Below are 17,196 nucleotides of genomic sequence, written 5' to 3'. Positions count from 1 at the left end.
AACCATAAAAATGGGCAACCAGCAGCCCTCAGGGCTGCTCTGTCTATGGAGTAGCCGTTCTTTTATTCCTTTACTTTCTTAATAAACTTGCTTTCTCTTTGCACTGTGAACTCGCCCTGAATTCTTTCTTGCCCAAGATCCAAGAACCCTCTCTTGGGGTTTGGATCAGGACGCCTTTCCCGTAACACAATGAATAAATATAGTTGGAACTCTTGGTGTTGTGGGTGTTGGAGAGGAGATTTAGCTGAGACATCAAGAAACAGTAGATGTCATATTTCAAAGTGAGACAATAGACCATGAAACATCAAAAACAATTTGGCTGAGAATTGTTAGATGATTCTTCAGTATTTTGCCTCTACTGATGCTACAAAAGGTTTAAGGGAAGGGAATTTTGTAGAAAATGCTAAGTGTGAGAATTTTTAAGGAGTTGCTGATATGCTGTGAGTCTCTCTCACTGTCATCTTGCCACAGGGGGTAAGGGTGGGGTGTGCCTGTCTCTAGTCTCAGGTCTTAGGAATGAGGTCTTAGTGGGTCCACCAAGAGAGCGTGGTGCATGTCCTCCATGGTTGGAGGCTACAGGACACCGGTTTCTGACTCTTGGGGACTCTAATATCTAGTGAGGAACAGGACGAACCGTTAGGATCTGCCTGCATCCCAGAGTGTGTTGGGGTGAAGGAGGCACAAATGTGTCCGGTGAACCACAGGTAAGCCATGGAGCTCAAGAGAACTGTGTCCGTCATCCTAGACTTTGTACAAGAGAGACACTTGAGGTGGGAGCAGACATCATCTCAGAGAAACCAAAGACAACACCATGTTCCCGGGGATGGGAGGAGAAATTGATGAGCTAGTGGAAAGTGCATCCCCAGTGTCCAAGGATCTGCAGATGAGGAACCCCTGAAGACCCCCCGGAAGCAGCACATGAGATAAGGCGTTTGTTTCAAGCACCTGATGGGCCCAGAGAATGTGGAGCCAACCTGGGAAACATCAGTCCAGTATAGGAAGAGCTTCCGTTCCCCATTCCCAGTTCCCCTTACTCCCCTCTACCCTGCCCTTGCCCCAACAACTGTTCCTACCCCTGGAGCAGCAGGCCAGGAGAGGGAGAGGGTTCAATTTATTAATTATGGCAAATTGCAAACATATATTAAAGTAGAGATAATAGTATGATGAACCCCCATCAATGAGTTTCAGCAAGTATCAACTTATGGCCAATCTTGTTTTATCTATACTTACTACCTCTAATTATCCTTCCTGAATTATTTTGAAGACAATTCCACAGATTATACATAATATTTCAGTCTATACCTTGAAGAGATACTGATACATGTAAACGTTTACATCCATATGTGTGTCATATACGTAGAGCTACACACTCAAAGATCCACCCCATGCTAAAAATGTCCACTAATTCCTTTATGGCATCAAATGAAAACATCTAATTTTAAGTCAAGTTCAGAATTTTGATTGTCATATGGGACTGGACATGTCAACTCCTAAATGGCAACTATGCCTAAATGGCAACTATGTTTTGTGACTTTAGAAACCATAGGATTAACTGACTTTTCTTTCCAAAAGAGAAGGAACCAATCCCCACAGAATGGGAGACAAAGACAAAGACACCTAGTGCTGTGGTTGGCCCCGTGAGTGCTGTGTGGCTCCTTAGCTCCCCGACCCATTGCAGGGCCAGATGCACACACATGTATCCATGTACCTTCCCCATCTGTGCACGACCACATATGTCAGGGCATGATGCTATGCCACACGTGTGTTGGGATCACCTGACTGTGTCTCCATTTCCAAAGTTGGGGGGGGTGCCTGTTCCTCCCTCTGTCCTAGTTCCACAGTGTTCAAGTCTCTGGAAATGACTGCAGCCCAGTGGGGGGCTTGTGGAATGTCCTCTTGGCAGGGGGTCCTGGTCCCAGTTTGCCAGGCACACTCCCTGGCCACAACTCTTGTCCTGGCATCATTATTCACAGCACCTCCACTCACCTGTCTGAAAAGTGTCCTGGCTTTGACAGCCTCTCACAGGGCTGCCTCTCTGTCCCGCTGTGCCCTGGGCATGAGCTGCCGCGTGCCCTGCCCTCCATCGGGCAGAGCCCAGCCCAAGCCCCACCAGAACGCGAGAGTCCCGGAGCCCTCACCAGCCAGTGTTGTCTTAGCCTCCCCTGAGACAAGGAAATGGGAATGAAAGAGTCCACTGGGGATAATTCTGGTGACAGGGGAGTTTGGGAAGGGATCAAATACATGTCTGGGGATTGATGATAGCCAGGGACTCATGGAGACCAGCAATCGGATGGGTGCCGGGAAGGACAAAGGCCGAGGCCTGGCGATGTGTGGGGTCAAAGGCATCCAGGCGGCCGAGTGGACCCGTGGTCCTGGCTAGGGGGCACTGAGCACCCGGGAAGAGCTCATCCAGGGCCCCAGGGAGCCAGGCCAGGGCAGGAAGGGAGAGGTCACCATGAGACAAGCCACTGGGATCGTTCAATGTGTCCTTCCCTTCCCTCTTCCCTCACACCAGAAAGCACAGGCTGAAAAGACCCTGCTGCCAGGCGCCCCTTGTGTGTGAGGGTCCTGGGCCATCATAACCAGCACCGCAAGCTGGGTGGTTTAAACAACAGATGTTTATTCTTGTTTATTCTCTCTCAGCTCTGGAGGTCAGAAGTCCAAGGTCAAGGTGTCACAGGGCCTCCTCTCTCTGAGGGCTCCAGGGAAGTGTCCTGCCTGCCTCTTCCGGCTCCTGGGGGTGCTGAAGTCCCCGGCCTCCTTGGCTTGCAGGCATATCACTCGGTCTCTGCCCCAGTTGCCATCGCCATGTGGCCTCCCTGCCCCGTCTGTGCTCACATCTGCACCCCTGTGTGTGTCTCAGTGTTTCTTCTCTTCTTATAATGACACTAGTCATATTGGATTTAGGGCCCACCCTACTCCATCTAGACCAGGCCAGATGGCGAGCGGATCCATCTAGACCGAGGGTGTCCAGTCTTCTGGCTTCCCTGGGTCACACCAGAAGAAGAAGAATTGTCTTGGGCCACACGTGAAATACACTAACACTAAAGATAGTTGATGAGCCAAAAAAAAAAATCACAAAAAAAATCTCATAACATTTTAAGAAAGTTTACGGATTTGTGTAGGGCCGTCTTCAAAGCCATCCTGGGTTGCATGTGGCAGACAGACCTCACATTGAACAAGCTTGATCTAGACCTTATCTTAGTTTAATTACAACCGCAAAAACTTTATTTCCAAATAAGGTTACATTCCGAGGTTTCAGGAGGGACGTGAATTTTGGGGAGGACACCCTTCAACTCAATGTACTTGGGAATCACTTGGTGATAAAGGCTTGACTCACAGGTATGAGCCAAGTCCGAAGGCCGAGAGTGGCTGCGGCTTCCCAGTCTGGTGGTGGGAGGACCTGGCTCCCCATGGGGTCCCCTGTGCTGTCTGGGGCTGTTGAACTTGGCTGCCTGCACCAATGCATTCAGGGACTGTCTCTGAGAACTGCATGCCATCAGCCCAGGTCTGGTACAAGAGGGGCTCCCAGCTGTCGGCCCAGGACTGGCTCAGTGCAGGACTGCAGACTGGAGTGCATCACACGGAAGGTGAGGTGACACGGTGCCTCCGGTGCCTGGGTGAGGGCCTTGCACCCTCCTCTCAGGCTCTGCTTCCTGGTAGAGCAGGTCTGGCTGCTGGGGAAGGGCCCATCTGGGCCCAGCAGGTGGGGCTGCGGGTGAGGTGCTCCTGTCCACCGCGGTCAGCTGCATTATTTCTGGCCGTCAGTCCATGCCTTTCTGGGAACCTTTCCTGTCCCTTGCACGTGGGGCTGATGCAACGGTCCCAAACCCACAGACGCTCTGGGTTTAGAGGGCTCTGTGGCTGCTTCTCAAGACGAGTGGCTGAAACAGCACCAAGTGCTCCTTGAGCTGCACAAGGGAACCCTGGAGCCCATGCCCCCTTCCGAGCCCACTGGGCTGCTCTGCGTTCTGACCTTCCTGTTTTACACGTGGTGGTGGCATTTGCTCTGCTCCTGGTCCCCACCCCCATTTGTCCTCAGTGGACTATGTGTCAAGACAGAAGCATCCTTGAATGGGTCACTGCGTTTGCCTCCCCAAAGCACCTACATTCAGGTCGTGATGACTCAGGAAGGGTCTTCGAGCCTCTCTCAGGGAGGCAGGAGGAAGTTCTGTGCAGAGTGAGGGGCGGCACCCATGGCAGCTGCAGACCGAGAGACAGCTGGGCAGCAGGGTGCTCCTGGGAGGTGTGCGGCCCTGGGCCACCCACGGGTGCTGATTAGCACAACTTCCTACTTCCTTCCTCCCTCGGACTGTCTGCTGCTTGAGTAATCGAGTGACAATACCAGAAAACTGAGCGGTGATGCAGACCCTATAACCTGCATGTGCCACATCAACTCTGAGTTTTCTGTGGGGCAGTGAGTTAGTGCAAAGTAGGCAGTGTTATGGCCTTACCTGCCCCTCTGCACTTTGGGAGGCTGAGGCAGGCAAATCACTTGAGGTTAGGAGTTTGAGACCAGCCTGGCCAACATGGTGAAACCTCAGCTCTACTAAAAATACAAAAATTAGCCGGGCATGGTGGCGTGCACCTGTAATCCTAGCACTTTGGGAGGCCAAGAGAGATGGGTTGCCTGAAGTCAGGAGTTCGAGACCAGCTTGGCCAACATGGTGAAACCCTGTCTCTACTAAAAATACAAAAATTAGCCAAGTGTGGTGGCATGCACCTGTAATCCCAGCTACTCGGGAGGCTGAGGGAGGAGGATCGTTTAAGCCTGGGAGGTGTAGGCTGTAGTGAGCTGAGGTTGAACCACTGTACTCCAGCCTGGGTGATGGGAGAGAAACCCTGTCTCAAAATAAAATAAAATAAAATAAAATAACTTAACATAACATAAAATAAAATAAGATAAGATAAAATAAAATGAAATGTGCCCCTCTGACCTTCACCCCTCCCATCTGGTGAACTTGTACTCATCCCTCAAGACCTAGTCAGATTTCACCCCACTCTGCCAGCTCTAATCATACTGCACCACAATTCATGCTTGAAGGCTTGTTCCTCCTCACCAGCCTGTGAGCTCTGAGGGCACGGGCTCTGCCTGATGTTCTGGGGCTCCCACATCTGCAGGCCGAGTGCCTGACCTGGGACCCATGCTCAGCTTGTGCTTGTTATATGCACGTGACAATGACCACGCATCCGGGAGGTGAAAGGTTGCAGCCCCGGCATGGGGGAGCAGACTGTCTTCTTCTTGGATCCATCCAGGAGCCCCTGCACAAGGCCCAGGGTGGGAGGGATTTGCAGGGCTCCTGGGACGGCCCACACCGCCACACCGCACACAGCTGACGAGGCTGCTGCAGGGATGCGGGATGCGGCTCCCAAGGAGGAAAGGGAGAGGCTCCTTTAGAGCCAGTCCTGCTCACCCCCAGGTCTTGGGTTGCCCAGGGGAGCCACCTGTCTGGGTTGGGCCCGATGCCCACTACCGCACGGCCTACAGCTCTGACAACAGCTCTGCTTTTTCTCTGGAACTGGAACTCCCCCAGGGGAATAGGGTGGCTGGGGAAGGCTGTGGGAATGCAGGCTCTGGAAGGCAGGTTGGGCTCTCCCATGCCATCCTCTGTTCCTGTACAGAGCCCAGGGCTCCTGGGGAGGGGGCTCCTAGAACAGAGAGAGGGGACACACACGGGCCTCCCCATTGACCTCTCCAGAGGTGCAGCCCAAATCCCCCTTCTCTGAGAAGCCTGTGCGTCTCCACCTGACAGGACCCAGCTCTGGCCCCCTTGCCACAGCCTTTGCTCCTACCAGAGCCGGGACCAGGAATCCTCTCCTCTGCCATCATGGTTGATCCAGCACACCCGGCAGGTGGTCAGTGTGTGTCCCAGGCACCTGGCTGGGCTGTGCAGCACCACTTCATGCTGTCCTGTGGGGTGAGCACCCTGTGACATGTAGGGAAACTGAGGTACAGATGGGACGTGACTTGCCCAAGGTCAGGCAGCACAGAACCTAGTCTTGGCTTCACCATCTTAACTCTGACATGATCCCGTCTCCCTTTGCGGGGGGACTCTTCAAGGACAAGAATGTGTCACCTTTGTTATTCCTTCCCCAGCCCTAAACCCTGGGTGTAGGCAGTAGGAGCTCAGTCAACATTCACTAGTTAAACGGAAGCAAACCCCAGCAGGGTTCTCGGTGCTGGCCGCAGAGAAGAATCACAGGCGACAGAACCACCTGTCAGGGCGGGGCCCAGGCATTGATATTCTCCCCACTCCAGGCAATTTTGAGTGCAGCAGGTGGAGACCACAGCACCTGCAGAAGCTCCTTGCGGGGGTCCTTCCCCAGCAGGTCATGAGGGCCGGAGGGGCAGCAGTCTGTTCCTGGGGTGTTTGCACCCTCCTGGAACTCAGCCCTGCACCACGACCTGGCCTGGCCTCTGGGTACTAGGAGCAGTGGGAAGGCAGGGAGATCTCACCAGATCCCCCAGGGAGATCTCACCAGATCCCCCAGGGATTTCCCCTACAATGACCTTTTTAATAACATGAAAATCCTGCTGTCCATTGATGAACCTGGGTCCGCTGTCTCCCAGAAAAAGTGAGTGCCCCGAAAACAAGGCAGGCAACGCTCTTTCCTTCTTCCTCCTTCGCTGGCCTCAGCGGGAGTGGCACATCAGAGGCCAGGGGCCCTCAAATCCATCCACAAAGGGCGTGCTGAGCGCAAGGGCGGGGCCTGGGAGTCACAGGGCAGGACACATCCTGGTGCTCAGCACGTACGCCATCGAGCTCCCATGGGTCACTCGGGGAAGGGCAGTTTGTGGATGCACCCTTGGAGGCTCAAGGCCGCCCTGCACACACCACCGGGGACCCCAGCTGCAGGCTAAATCCAAGCAGCCAGGCGCTCCCATTTCTCGGGGTGATAAACCAAGTCCACCCTTCAGACAGAGGCTCCTGGAAGGGCCAGTGGGGGTCATCAAAATGCCTCCCTGGAAAAGAAACACGGAGAACACAAAATCTAGGGGCCCGTTTTCCTGGAATGAGATTAGTCTCTTGCCCACTACCAGCCAGTCCACTGCAGGAGGTTGGGGGGTTGGGGGATGCTGCGGATGCCGAGGGCGGAGGCTTAGGGTCCTGGGAGTGGGTTAAATACCAGCTATACCAGGGACACTGGAGTAACCTCTGATAGGCACCGGAAATGTTGAGTCTTAGTTTCTTCCTCTGGAAAATGGATAGAATCATCGCTGTCTCATCTGATATGTTGTTATAAAACAATTCCTGAGATGTAGTCTTTAGTTTTTAAAAGAGCACGCTGGGCAAAGGTGGAGAGTCAGTTCCTGTTTGTGTTAAAAATGTGGCCGAGTGCAGTGGCTCATGCCTGTAATCCTGACACTTTGGGAGGCCAAGGAAGGCAGATCACTTGAGTCCAGGAGTCTGAGACCAGCCTGGCCAACATGGCGACACCTGGTCTCTAAAAAAATACAAAATATTAGCTGGACACATGCCTGTGGCCCAGCTACTTAGGAGGCTGAGGTGGGAGGATCACTTGAGCCCCGCGAGGGCGGGGGTCTCAGTGAGTTGAGATTGTGCCACTGCACTCCAGCCTGGGTAACAGAGCAAGACCCTGTCTCCAAAAAAAAAAAACAAAAAAAAAACAAAAAAAAAACAAAACAAACAAACAAACAAAAACAAACCAAAAAAACGTGCTTAGATCCAGAGAGAAAAATTCTGAAAGGATACCTAAAAAAGTGTTCACAATAGATCAATAGATGCCTCTGGATAGGAAAGGCTCTTTTGTATTATTTGATTTTAAAAATCAATTATGTGTACCATGTTTTTACTAACATATTTTCAATCAATTCATTTCATCCACTTATTAAAATGTAGTTACTAATTTTTAGGGGAGAAAGCAAAAAGGAAAGACAAGGAATCTCTGTGTTTCAGGAGTTGTGAGAGAGCCGCAGGGTCCTGACTCACTCAGAGCTGCCTGTCTCCGAGGCCGATCTGGGATGAAGCAGCCTGGGGCTCTCTTGTCATGGGACCAGGGGTGTTCTGAGGGCTTCTGGCTGGGAGGCTGAGATGGAACGGACACCACACCCTGGTCCTGCCACCCCACATGGCTCCTGCACACTACACCAGGCCAGGCTAGGAGGGCAATTGACACACATCCGCTCCCCAGTAGAGGACCCGGAACCAGAACTGGAATCCGCCCTTACCGCTTGCTGCCAAAACAGTGGGGGCTGAACTGACCTCTCCCCTTTGGGAGAGAAAAACTGTCTGGGAGCTTGACAAAGGCATGCAGGAGAGAACAGGAGCAGCCACAGCCAGGAGGGAGAGCCTTCCCCAAGCAAACAATCCAGAGCAGCTGTGCAAACAACGGTGCATAAATGAGGCCTCCTGGACCATGAAGCGAGTCCTGAGCTGCGTCCCGGAGCCCACGGTGGTCATGGCTGCCAGAGCGCTCTGCATGCTGGGGCTGGTCCTGGCCTTGCTGTCCTCCAGCTCTGCTGAGGAGTACGTGGGCCTGTGTGAGTACTGCCCTGACTGCCCCGGTGGCAGGGTGGGCGTGAAGGGAAGGGATCCAGGATAAGGGGGGATTCTGCATTCATTTAATAATGGCCACCTGTCACATATACACTTTTTCCTGCGCTAGCCCTTTGAAGTGGGTCTTTATTGTCCCCATTTCACAGACAAGGAAACCGAGGCTCAGAGAAAGTTAACAACTTATCCAAGGCAGCCCTGCCCAGTCTGTGTTGAAATCAGGGTTTGAGCCTGAGCCCATCCCCTATGACCCCATAGCCATCTTTGCTGGAGATTTCTAAATTACAATATAGGTCTTTATGCATTGTTCCACATTTACAAAGAAAAAGGAAAGATGCAGGAGAAAAACCCTGACTTCAGAACACTGTCAATACCGGCAGGCACAAGGTTCATTTAGCCATTGCATAGCAACCCTGCCATGGGGTGTGGCTGCTCCATTAACCCAAGTTTGAAGGAATGAGGGCATGGCTTTTATCTGGGTGTCTTCTGAGCAGGGTCAAAGGCAGTGGTTCCCGAACTTGCAGCCCATTAGAATCACCTGGAGAGCTTTAAAAATCCTAATGCTTGGGGCACACCAGTTACATCAGGGCATCTCCAGGCAAGATCCAGGCCTCAGCTGTTTTGTTTTGAGATAGCCTTGCTTTGTCACTCACTGCTGGAGTGCAGTGGCACAATCTCAGCTCACTGCAACCTCCGCCTCCTGGGTTCAAGCAATTCTTGTGCCTCGGCTTCAAGTAGCTGGGATTACAGGCATGCACCACCATGCCCAGCTAATTTTTTGGATTTTTAGTAGAGATGGAGTTTCGCTATGTTGGCCAAGCTGGTCTCAAACTCCTGGCCTCAAGTGATCCTCCTGCCTTGGCCTCCCAAAGTGCTGGAATTACAGGTGTAAGCCACCATGCCCAGCCAACGTCAGTCATTTTTAAAGCTCTGCAGCTGATTCCAGTGTGAGCGAAGTTTGGATGCCAGGAGGATAAGCAATTACGGACTGGGAGCAAGAGAAGGGAATGTAAGACACTGCACGTGATTGCCATTTTCCTAAGGAAATACTCAGTTCGTTAATGAAACGCAGTGAACTTCTGCTGCACATACAGACATAGAGGCTTGCCTGAAACATGAAAATATTGGGGACTGAAGGATGTCCCGGGAGGGTGGGACATGCTCAACAATTCAGGAAGGGGAGATGCAGAAAAAAGTGAAAAGCAGGCAGCATGCGTTGCAATGATCTCTATGGCGTGTGCCTCTCCTGTCACGGTTTTCATTTAAAACAAAGGGGCAAGGTTTTGTTGGTCAAACAATGAAGGGTAACTTTGTTTCTGGGTTCAAGGGACCCCAGATTCCCCAGGGGTTCCTGCCAGCTGGAAGGTACCCAGGTCCGTATGTGACTTCCCGAGAAGGTGATAAGAGCGTGCCAAGGAGAAAGACACTTAGGCAAATGGCCAGAGTCCCCGAGCTGAGCATTTAACAGACTGCCTCTCTTTAAATATTCACAGGGAAAGTGCATCTTCCTAAGGGCGAGGGTTTCAGCAGTGGTTGAACTCGGCGGGGTGGGGCGGAGCGGGAGGATGCAAACTTGCAAAGTGAAGCAAACACACTCACCGCAGCCCAGCAAGGGCTCTGGCAGCTGACAGGGCTTTGTCTGGGACAGCTGCAAACCAGTGTGCCGTGCCAGCCAAGGACAGGGTGGACTGCGGCTACCCCCATGTCACCCCCAAGGAGTGCAACAACCGGGGCTGCTGCTTTGACTCCAGGATCCCTGGAGTGCCTTGGTGTTTCAAGCCCCTGCAGGAAGCAGGTAAGGCCCCAGTGGCATCGTGGTCTGGGCCCAGCCCCATAAGGCAGGGGGTCTCAGGGCCTCCCTGTCCTTTCTGGGCTGGAGATGGAGGCACAAGGACCCCAGGAAGCCACACACACACACCTGTTCCAAGGCCTCAGAGCAGAGGCTTCACACTTAGGGCAGCCATGGCCAGGGGCTGTCCTCTTCTGTCCCCTTTATGTAAAACATAAAAGCAATTGTTTCAAAAAGGTGTTCAAAATGATGGCATCGCATAGAGGGAACTGATTTAGTAACTATTCTTGAGAGAAGTGGAAACGCATAGGTGTGGAAAGCCGGGCCGACTTTTGGGCTGTTTTTGCAAATCGGCCCCCCAGAGTCTTGTCATTTGTGGCATCCCCTACACAGACGGCAGGCGGTCCCAGCCCTAGACGTCAGGCCTCGGTGCCACACCCCACCTCCCCCACTCTGCCCCCCACAAGGGTCATCTCCTCTCCCTCTCTCTGCCGTGGTGGAGGGCAGGTGCAGGGCAACCACCCTGGGGGTTCCCTCCCCAGGGGCGGAGAGCCTGCGTGCTGTGCGGGTAACAGATGGCCCTGCACACGGGTTTGCCACCCTGGCTCCACCAGGCTTAGCTGCCCCACATCGTGGGTGGGGCGATTGGCTATAAGCCATCTGCCATGTCCAAGTGCCAGCTCAGCCCCCACGAAGGCCGCACCTGCGTGAGGTACCTTCCTGGAACCAGCATCCAGAGGGGCCTCTCTTGCCCTTTGTCCTAGGGTGAAATGCGGGAGGCTGAGTCCTGCTGGCCCCGGCTCCCTGATCAATGATGGGCCCCTGCCCAGGGCCTCCCTTCACCCTCCCCAGCAAGTCCAGGGTAGGGGTGGGGGTGGGGGTCCAGAGAAGGCCAGGAGAGAGAGGGGTCTGGCTACTGTCCACTGCCGGTCCTGTTCCTTCAGCTCCACTGGAACTACACTCTCCTCTGAGTGCCAGCCATGGCCCTGCCAAGGCCCATCTCGCTTGTTATCTGCCTGATCCCTGGGTCCCACTATCTTGCTTAGCAACCCGAGGTGGGAATCTTGGCTATTCCCCCATGTGGTGGGGACTCAACACTCCCCGGTGACTCTGGGGAGGAGGCAGCACTAGGTGCTGGCCTTGGAGCCTGCCCTGACCTTGGGAAGCTGGGCAGCGTGGGTGGAGAGAGACTGCTCACACAAGCCTTTGCTCTGTTTGCAGAATGCACCTTCTGAGGCACCTCCAGCTGCCCCCGGCCGGGGGATGCGAGGCTCGGAGCACCCTTGCCCGGCTGTGATTGCTGCCAGGCACTGTTCATCTCAGCTTTTCTGTCCCTTTGCTCCCGGCAAGCGCTTCTGCTGAAAGTTCATATCTGGAGCCTGATGTCTTAACGAATAAAGGTCCCATGCTCCACCCGAGGACAGTTCTTCGTGCCTGAGACTTTCTGAGGTTGTGCTTTATTTCTGCTGCGTCGTGGGAGAGGGCGGGAGGGTGTCAGGGGAGAGTCTGCCCAGGCCTCAAGGGCAGGAAAAGACTCCCTAAGGAGCTGCAGTGCATGCAAGGATATTTTGAATCCAGACTGGCACCCACGTCACAGGAAAGCCTAGGAACACTGTAAGTGCCGCTTCCTCGGGAAAGCAGAAAAAATACATTTCAGGTAGAAGTTTTCAAAAATCACAAGTCTTTCTTGGTGAAGACAGCAAGCCAATAAAACTGTCTTCCAAAGTGGTCCTTTATTTCACAACCACTCTCGCTACTGTTCAATACTTGTACTATTCCTGGGTTTTGTTTCTTTGTACAGTAAACATTATGAACAAACAGGCACTTTTTTGTATTTGTTTGCTAATTAAGTTTAAACATCTGTGACACATTGGGTGGCCTTCTTTTCTCTTTTTTTAAAAAAATGGATGCAGCTATAGGAAATGAATGAGCTGGTGGCAGTGGGGATTCCATCTCACGTCCTCATGAAGCCTTATCCACTTCTGGACCTGAGTGTGGTTCTCTCCCCATCGCACTGTCTTGGGACACGGCAGCTCTCCGCTCCCACCAAGACGGTTTTAGATGTACGAAGGCCAGTGAGCGCTGCCTGGCTGGGCCTCCTGTGAGCGCTGCCTGCCTGGGCCTCCTGTGAGCGCTGCCTGCTTGGGCCTCCTGTGAGCGCTGCCTGCCTGGGCCTCCTGTGCTGCTCCCACTGCCGGGGCTCTCTTAGGGCCGGATCCACAATTCCACTGCAGTGCGGTCACAGCGGTGGGGTTCTTGCTCTGAGCTATCTGTTCCCTTTTGAAAAGAGACAACTGCTCCTTTAAAATAGCAGCTTTTGTTTTTGAGCTTGCACTCGGGGCCTGGTCCCTAGAGCTCATAACATCCCTAGAAGGGAGGTAGTATTGCCCTTGTCTTACAGATATGGAAAGAGACTTTCTTGAAGTAGCTTGTCCAAAAGCCCCTACTGAGAGGGGACACTGTCAGGATGTCCTGGTCTCTAAATCTCAAGCCCTGGGTGTCCCATCCAATGCCCCGAAGCATCAGCTGCCAGCCCTGGGAGGGAAACTTCCAGGGCTATCCCGGGCCTCAGAGCACACGCCAAGTGTGGCCTCCCTGCTCTGGAGCTCTGCTACTGAGAGCTGCTCTGGCCGGGACATCCTCCGAGGCGGGGCTCTGCATCCCTCTCCCTCACAGACCATGCCCAGCCTTTGAGGGCTGGAGGGATGGAAAGGTTGGCCCCAGGCCCTGGCCTCAGCCTCAGGCCACCCTGCCACCAGCTGGATGACCAGCTCCGTTTTCCTCCTACCCCACCTGGTGCCCTGTACCCCGGGACAGGGCTCTGCTGCCTCCTTGCCTCATTCATGGGCACCGCCCACCTACATTTCCAAAGAATTTCTTGACTTGCCCCACCCCGCCGTTCCTGGCATTGCCTTCTGCAGTCACTGCAGACACCTCCTGCACTGTGGTCCCCCCGGCCCAGACTTCCCACTGTGCCCTGAGAGGGAGGGCTCCCCCAGAACTTGAGCCAGGTGGGACTCCTCCTTCACCCACCACAGAGCTGCTCCCTGTCTCCAGCCTGAGCCTGTGCCTTCCTCAGACAGGACAATGCTTCGTGCACATTCTAGAAGCTTCACCATTGACTCCTGCTGCCCGTGTGGGCTGGATCGAGGTTGCTTCCATCAAATGAAATAGCATCAGATGGAGAGATCTGCTGGCAACAACCGGCAGGACAGAGACTCCCCATAATCCAGCTGTGCAGGGCAGACCCCAGTGAGGAAAGGAAAGGGGCTGAGGAGGGCTGGGGTCCTGGAATGAGCTGGACTGGACCCCCGTCTTTCTCTGTCTCCCGTGTCCTGCCTCCGACCGTCTCTGCCTCTCCCTCGCTTCGACTTCGGTTGCTATGGGGACCTTGGAAGCTCCCTGCCTTCCTCGCGAGCCCCAGGCATGGTCGGGGGGCTCTCAGAACCCCGGGTAGGGTTTATGCTATGAGAAAGAGCGCAACGCCCCTGACAGCACCCACCTGGGGGCTGTGACATTCTCATAAGAGATCACAGACACCAATGGGGGAGCAGGACCCAAAAGCAGCCCACCCACCCCCCAGCCCGACGGCAGAACGGAAACCTGGTCCAAACCACAAAGCGACCGAACAGCGCCCTCTACTGACTGCTGGAGTCACTGCGGCTCGCCACCAATCACAGCTGTGCCCTGCCCCTTCTAGATACAAATTAAGATACGCAGCCCCAGAATGACCCTGGGCTTCCTGTTGGTGAGGAGGATCTGGGACCCAGGACACATGATCTAAGCCGAGGGTTCCCAGTGGAGGCTGCTGCCACGGGGATGTTCGGGAATCTGTGGGCACGTTTATGAATCGTATGAAAGGGGGCATTGAGTGGACACAGGCCAGACATGGCAGGACCCTGTGGTGTCCCCAGGTGTCCTGAACAGACCACTGCCTCCACCCGATAGACGTCCTGGCGTCCTGTTGGACACACATGGTGGCTGCAAACCTATTCACGGCGATCGAAACCCAGAGACTACTTCTGTGTTACATTTTAACACAGTTGTTTTGGTTGTTGTTTGTTGTTTCAAATGGCTTGAACATACCTGAATTCTCCAGGAGGGTATGTCATGTAAATCAAGAAGACACTGCATTTGTTTGGTTTGCAGCGTTAGCTGAGTCGTTCATTTCAAGCATGTCAGTGCCAGGGCTGCCTGTGTTCCTCGGGTGGCCCATCCAGGGGGATTCAAGCCCCGGACTCCTTCATCCCGTCCTCTGGTGTGGACATGGGGAGCATGGTGCACTGAATAGGAATGTACTGAACATTACTCTCCTTTTATTTCTTATATTTTCATAAGGCCTCGTGCATATTTAATTTCCAGCACTGGGCATCAGTTGACAACAGCTGTCCAGAGCCCAGGTGGCCTCAACGCCACCTGCTGGGCCTTCCCACCTCCTGGTCTGGGCACATCTGAAACCGACATCCATCAGCGGCTCACGGCGAATTCAAATAATGAATTGTGACCCATAGGACCCAGGAACCATTTTTATGTCAAATACCTTCATCACTAACTTGGAAATGGTCCGTGTTTCCAGAGCCTTCCAGAATGAACACTTTGATTGCCAGAAGAAGCCAGAACATGGCTGGGCTCCCTCGCTGCTGGCGTGTGCTGCTGTTGGAAAGGGGAGAGAAACGCTAGGCTTCTCCCCACGCTGCAGCCGTTACACCCCATGATGGTTTTCCGTGCCATGCCCATGCCTTCCCCCTCCTCTTGAGTTGGTGGTGAAGGGTGCGGCTGTGGCACTTCTCATTTTCCACAGTTCCTCTGGAGTCTGCTAGAAAGCTCTACATTGTTCCATAATACATTGGATATTCACTTGTATTCATCACTGTATTCCAAGGATTCATAATTTCCAATGGCGAGAATTTTGGCTTCAAGCTGAGACACCCATGTGGGCTTCCATAAGTAGCAGACGTACTGGGGAGTTCTTGCCTCCGAAATGAGTGGGGGAAGGACTGGGGAGGAAGAGCCTCCCGCAGGCTGATGGGGAGTCCCCAAAGCAGAGTGCCCCTCGAGGGACCCTGTGTCTGGTGGGAATGCCCTGGTTGGGAGCAGCCTCAGGGAAGTGGGCCTGGCGTGGATGTCATGCTGGATGCGGGGCTGTCGGTGACCTGGGTCCCTGCAGCAGGTCGTCTCTGAGGGACAGCTGAGTGGTAGGTGCATCTCCAGTGGCCAAGAAGCCTCCCTGCTCACTAGGTTTTTGCTCTGAGGCCCTGCAGGGCCCTGGGCTGTGACACAGCTGTGGAGGCTGGAAATTCTCCCCTCAGTCCTCCTTCTTGGGGGCTCGAGAGGCACTGTCATGTATTGGAAAGAGTTAGAGAGCCCTGGGGCTTCAAAGTTCCTATCAGCAAAATGGGACAATTATAATGGCTGTATCAGAGGGTTGCCGACAGCTGCAGAAGCAAGGTGCAGGCTGAGAAAGCTCATTCCCCTGTGAGGTCAGAGCCGCATCCCCTTGGTCGGCCATAGTTTTCTACTGCATTTAGAGTTCATGCTCCCTTTCTTCCTTAGGTTTTATTTTGTTTTCAAAACTGAAGTGTGTTTTATGCTAAGTGAAAGAAGCCGATCACAAAAAGCCATGTGTTGTGTGATTCCATTTATATGAAATGTGCAGAATAGGGAAACCCACAGAGACAGACAGTGTTTCAGTGGTTGCTGGGTAGGGGGAGGGATGGGGAGTGGCTGTTCATGGGGAAGGGGTTTCCTTTTGGGGTGATGGAAATGTTCTGGAGTGGCATATGATACTGGCTGCACAATTCTGTGCAATATTAGATACTAAAAACCACCAAATCGTACACTTTACTAAAACAATACTAAAACCCCCTGAGACGAACACTTTAAAAAAGTGAATTCTATGGCATGGGAATAATATCTTCATTAAGCACACATCTGTACATGTGCTGATACCTCTGTTGATTTGCCCATTTAGACAAAGCCTTTTTGCCCTGAGAACTGAGAGTTTATTTCCAAGGGCATACCGAGCACCAAGGTGTGGCTGGCACATCTGATCTTCAATGCCATGGGTCCTGCCAGGTGGCTGCCAGACGGCCTTGTTCCCTTCCAGGTGGCTCCCAGGCTCAAGGGTTCTCTCTGCCATTCCAAGACCACACTCAGGCACAGGAATCATTTGCTGCTTCTCGCTGTGCAGCTGTCTTTGTCCCTGTTGGCCTGAACACTGCAGCCTTTCCCTCTTGGGTTTTGTGGGGTGCAACCGACTCCCTCTGCTCCCCCATCCCACTGACCTGTCTCCCTGGCCTCTGTCCTCCACAGGGGCAGGCGGGCAGGCCTCCTGGAGGAAGCATCCAACACCACATCCATTCATTCACTGCTCTGAGCCTCCCATCCTAGGCCCAGCCCTCACCAACCAGAGGAATTGTCTCAGTCCTGCAGTGTGGCGAGATCCCATTTCCCTCTGACACCTGCTCTCAACATGGCAACCTGGCTATTTACAGATGGGGACATTAGGAAAAATGAGGTCCCAGAGCTCCCAGCGTCACAGAGATTATAGGTTGCCCAGCTGTGGTCCCTGCTGTGACCACCCGGCCCCCTGGTTGTGGCTTCGTTAGTATCTGCAGAGCAGAGCAGCAGGAAGCACAGACCAACAGCTGCTTGCACCGGGGAAAGGGCAGAGAAGGGAAATAAAACAGCGGGGCGGGCCTGAGGGGATCTGTTGGTTCTTCAGGAAGAGTGCCCTGCCACAGGTTTACCTGCGTCTGGCTTCACCATCTCTCTGTAGAACGAGGTTGTTAACAAGTGGTACCTACTGCGATGCCAGCCACAGTGGTGGTGTGGGGAAGATCAGCCCCCTCGTGCAGGGGTGCAGCCAATTTGGCTGGCAACAGCACTGTG

At 53.6% G+C, this 17,196-nt stretch overlaps 1 protein-coding gene across 1 annotated transcript, besides 6 other annotated features; it reads left to right on the top strand.

Moving 5' to 3' along the window:
* Window positions 2,238–2,738: an enhancer, noted in NCBI's record as "H3K4me1 hESC enhancer chr21:43741168-43741668 (GRCh37/hg19 assembly coordinates)". NCBI's record gives its function as "activates a minimal SCP1, AML or CMV promoter by ChIP-STARR-seq in primed H9 embryonic stem cells {active_cell/tissue: H9 hESC(primed)}" and the evidence as "EXISTENCE:reporter gene assay evidence [ECO:0000049][PMID:30033119]".
* Window positions 3,140–3,794: an enhancer, noted in NCBI's record as "H3K27ac-H3K4me1 hESC enhancer chr21:43740112-43740766 (GRCh37/hg19 assembly coordinates)". NCBI's record gives its function as "activates a minimal SCP1, AML or CMV promoter by ChIP-STARR-seq in naive H9 embryonic stem cells {active_cell/tissue: H9 hESC(naive)}" and the evidence as "EXISTENCE:reporter gene assay evidence [ECO:0000049][PMID:30033119]".
* Window positions 6,049–6,667: an enhancer, noted in NCBI's record as "H3K4me1 hESC enhancer chr21:43737239-43737857 (GRCh37/hg19 assembly coordinates)". NCBI's record gives its function as "activates a minimal SCP1, AML or CMV promoter by ChIP-STARR-seq in naive and primed H9 embryonic stem cells {active_cell/tissue: H9 hESC(naive and primed)}" and the evidence as "EXISTENCE:reporter gene assay evidence [ECO:0000049][PMID:30033119]".
* Window positions 6,668–7,287: an enhancer, noted in NCBI's record as "H3K4me1 hESC enhancer chr21:43736619-43737238 (GRCh37/hg19 assembly coordinates)". NCBI's record gives its function as "activates a minimal SCP1, AML or CMV promoter by ChIP-STARR-seq in primed H9 embryonic stem cells {active_cell/tissue: H9 hESC(primed)}" and the evidence as "EXISTENCE:reporter gene assay evidence [ECO:0000049][PMID:30033119]".
* On the top strand, window positions 8,387–12,129 carry TFF3 (trefoil factor 3). Its single transcript, NM_003226.4, has 3 exons — window positions 8,387–8,503; window positions 10,165–10,311; window positions 11,527–12,129. Exons 1-3 carry the CDS (start codon window positions 8,422–8,424, stop codon window positions 11,538–11,540), a joined length of 243 nt encoding a protein of 80 aa, NP_003217.4. The 5' UTR covers window positions 8,387–8,421; the 3' UTR covers window positions 11,541–12,129.
* Window positions 10,720–11,716: an enhancer, noted in NCBI's record as "H3K27ac-H3K4me1 hESC enhancer chr21:43732190-43733186 (GRCh37/hg19 assembly coordinates)". NCBI's record gives its function as "activates a minimal SCP1, AML or CMV promoter by ChIP-STARR-seq in primed H9 embryonic stem cells {active_cell/tissue: H9 hESC(primed)}" and the evidence as "EXISTENCE:reporter gene assay evidence [ECO:0000049][PMID:30033119]".
* Window positions 16,640–17,139: an enhancer, noted in NCBI's record as "H3K4me1 hESC enhancer chr21:43726767-43727266 (GRCh37/hg19 assembly coordinates)". NCBI's record gives its function as "activates a minimal SCP1, AML or CMV promoter by ChIP-STARR-seq in naive H9 embryonic stem cells {active_cell/tissue: H9 hESC(naive)}" and the evidence as "EXISTENCE:reporter gene assay evidence [ECO:0000049][PMID:30033119]".

Source organism: Homo sapiens, chromosome 21 (assembly GCF_000001405.40).
Source record: "Homo sapiens chromosome 21, GRCh38.p14 Primary Assembly".
Lineage (NCBI taxonomy): Eukaryota > Metazoa > Chordata > Mammalia > Primates > Hominidae > Homo > Homo sapiens.
Note: the sequence above shows the minus strand (reverse complement) of the source record. Positions and strands in the feature narration are given on the sequence as shown.

Coding starts and splice junctions, on each gene's coding strand:
- TFF3 (NM_003226.4), top strand. CDS start 8,422: ATGGCTGCCAGAGCGCTCTGCATGCTGGGGCTGGTCCTGGCCTTGCTG. Junction 8,504..10,164: donor TGAGGAGTACGTGGGCCTGT/GTGAGTACTGCC, acceptor TGTCTGGGACAG/CTGCAAACCAGTGTGCCGTG.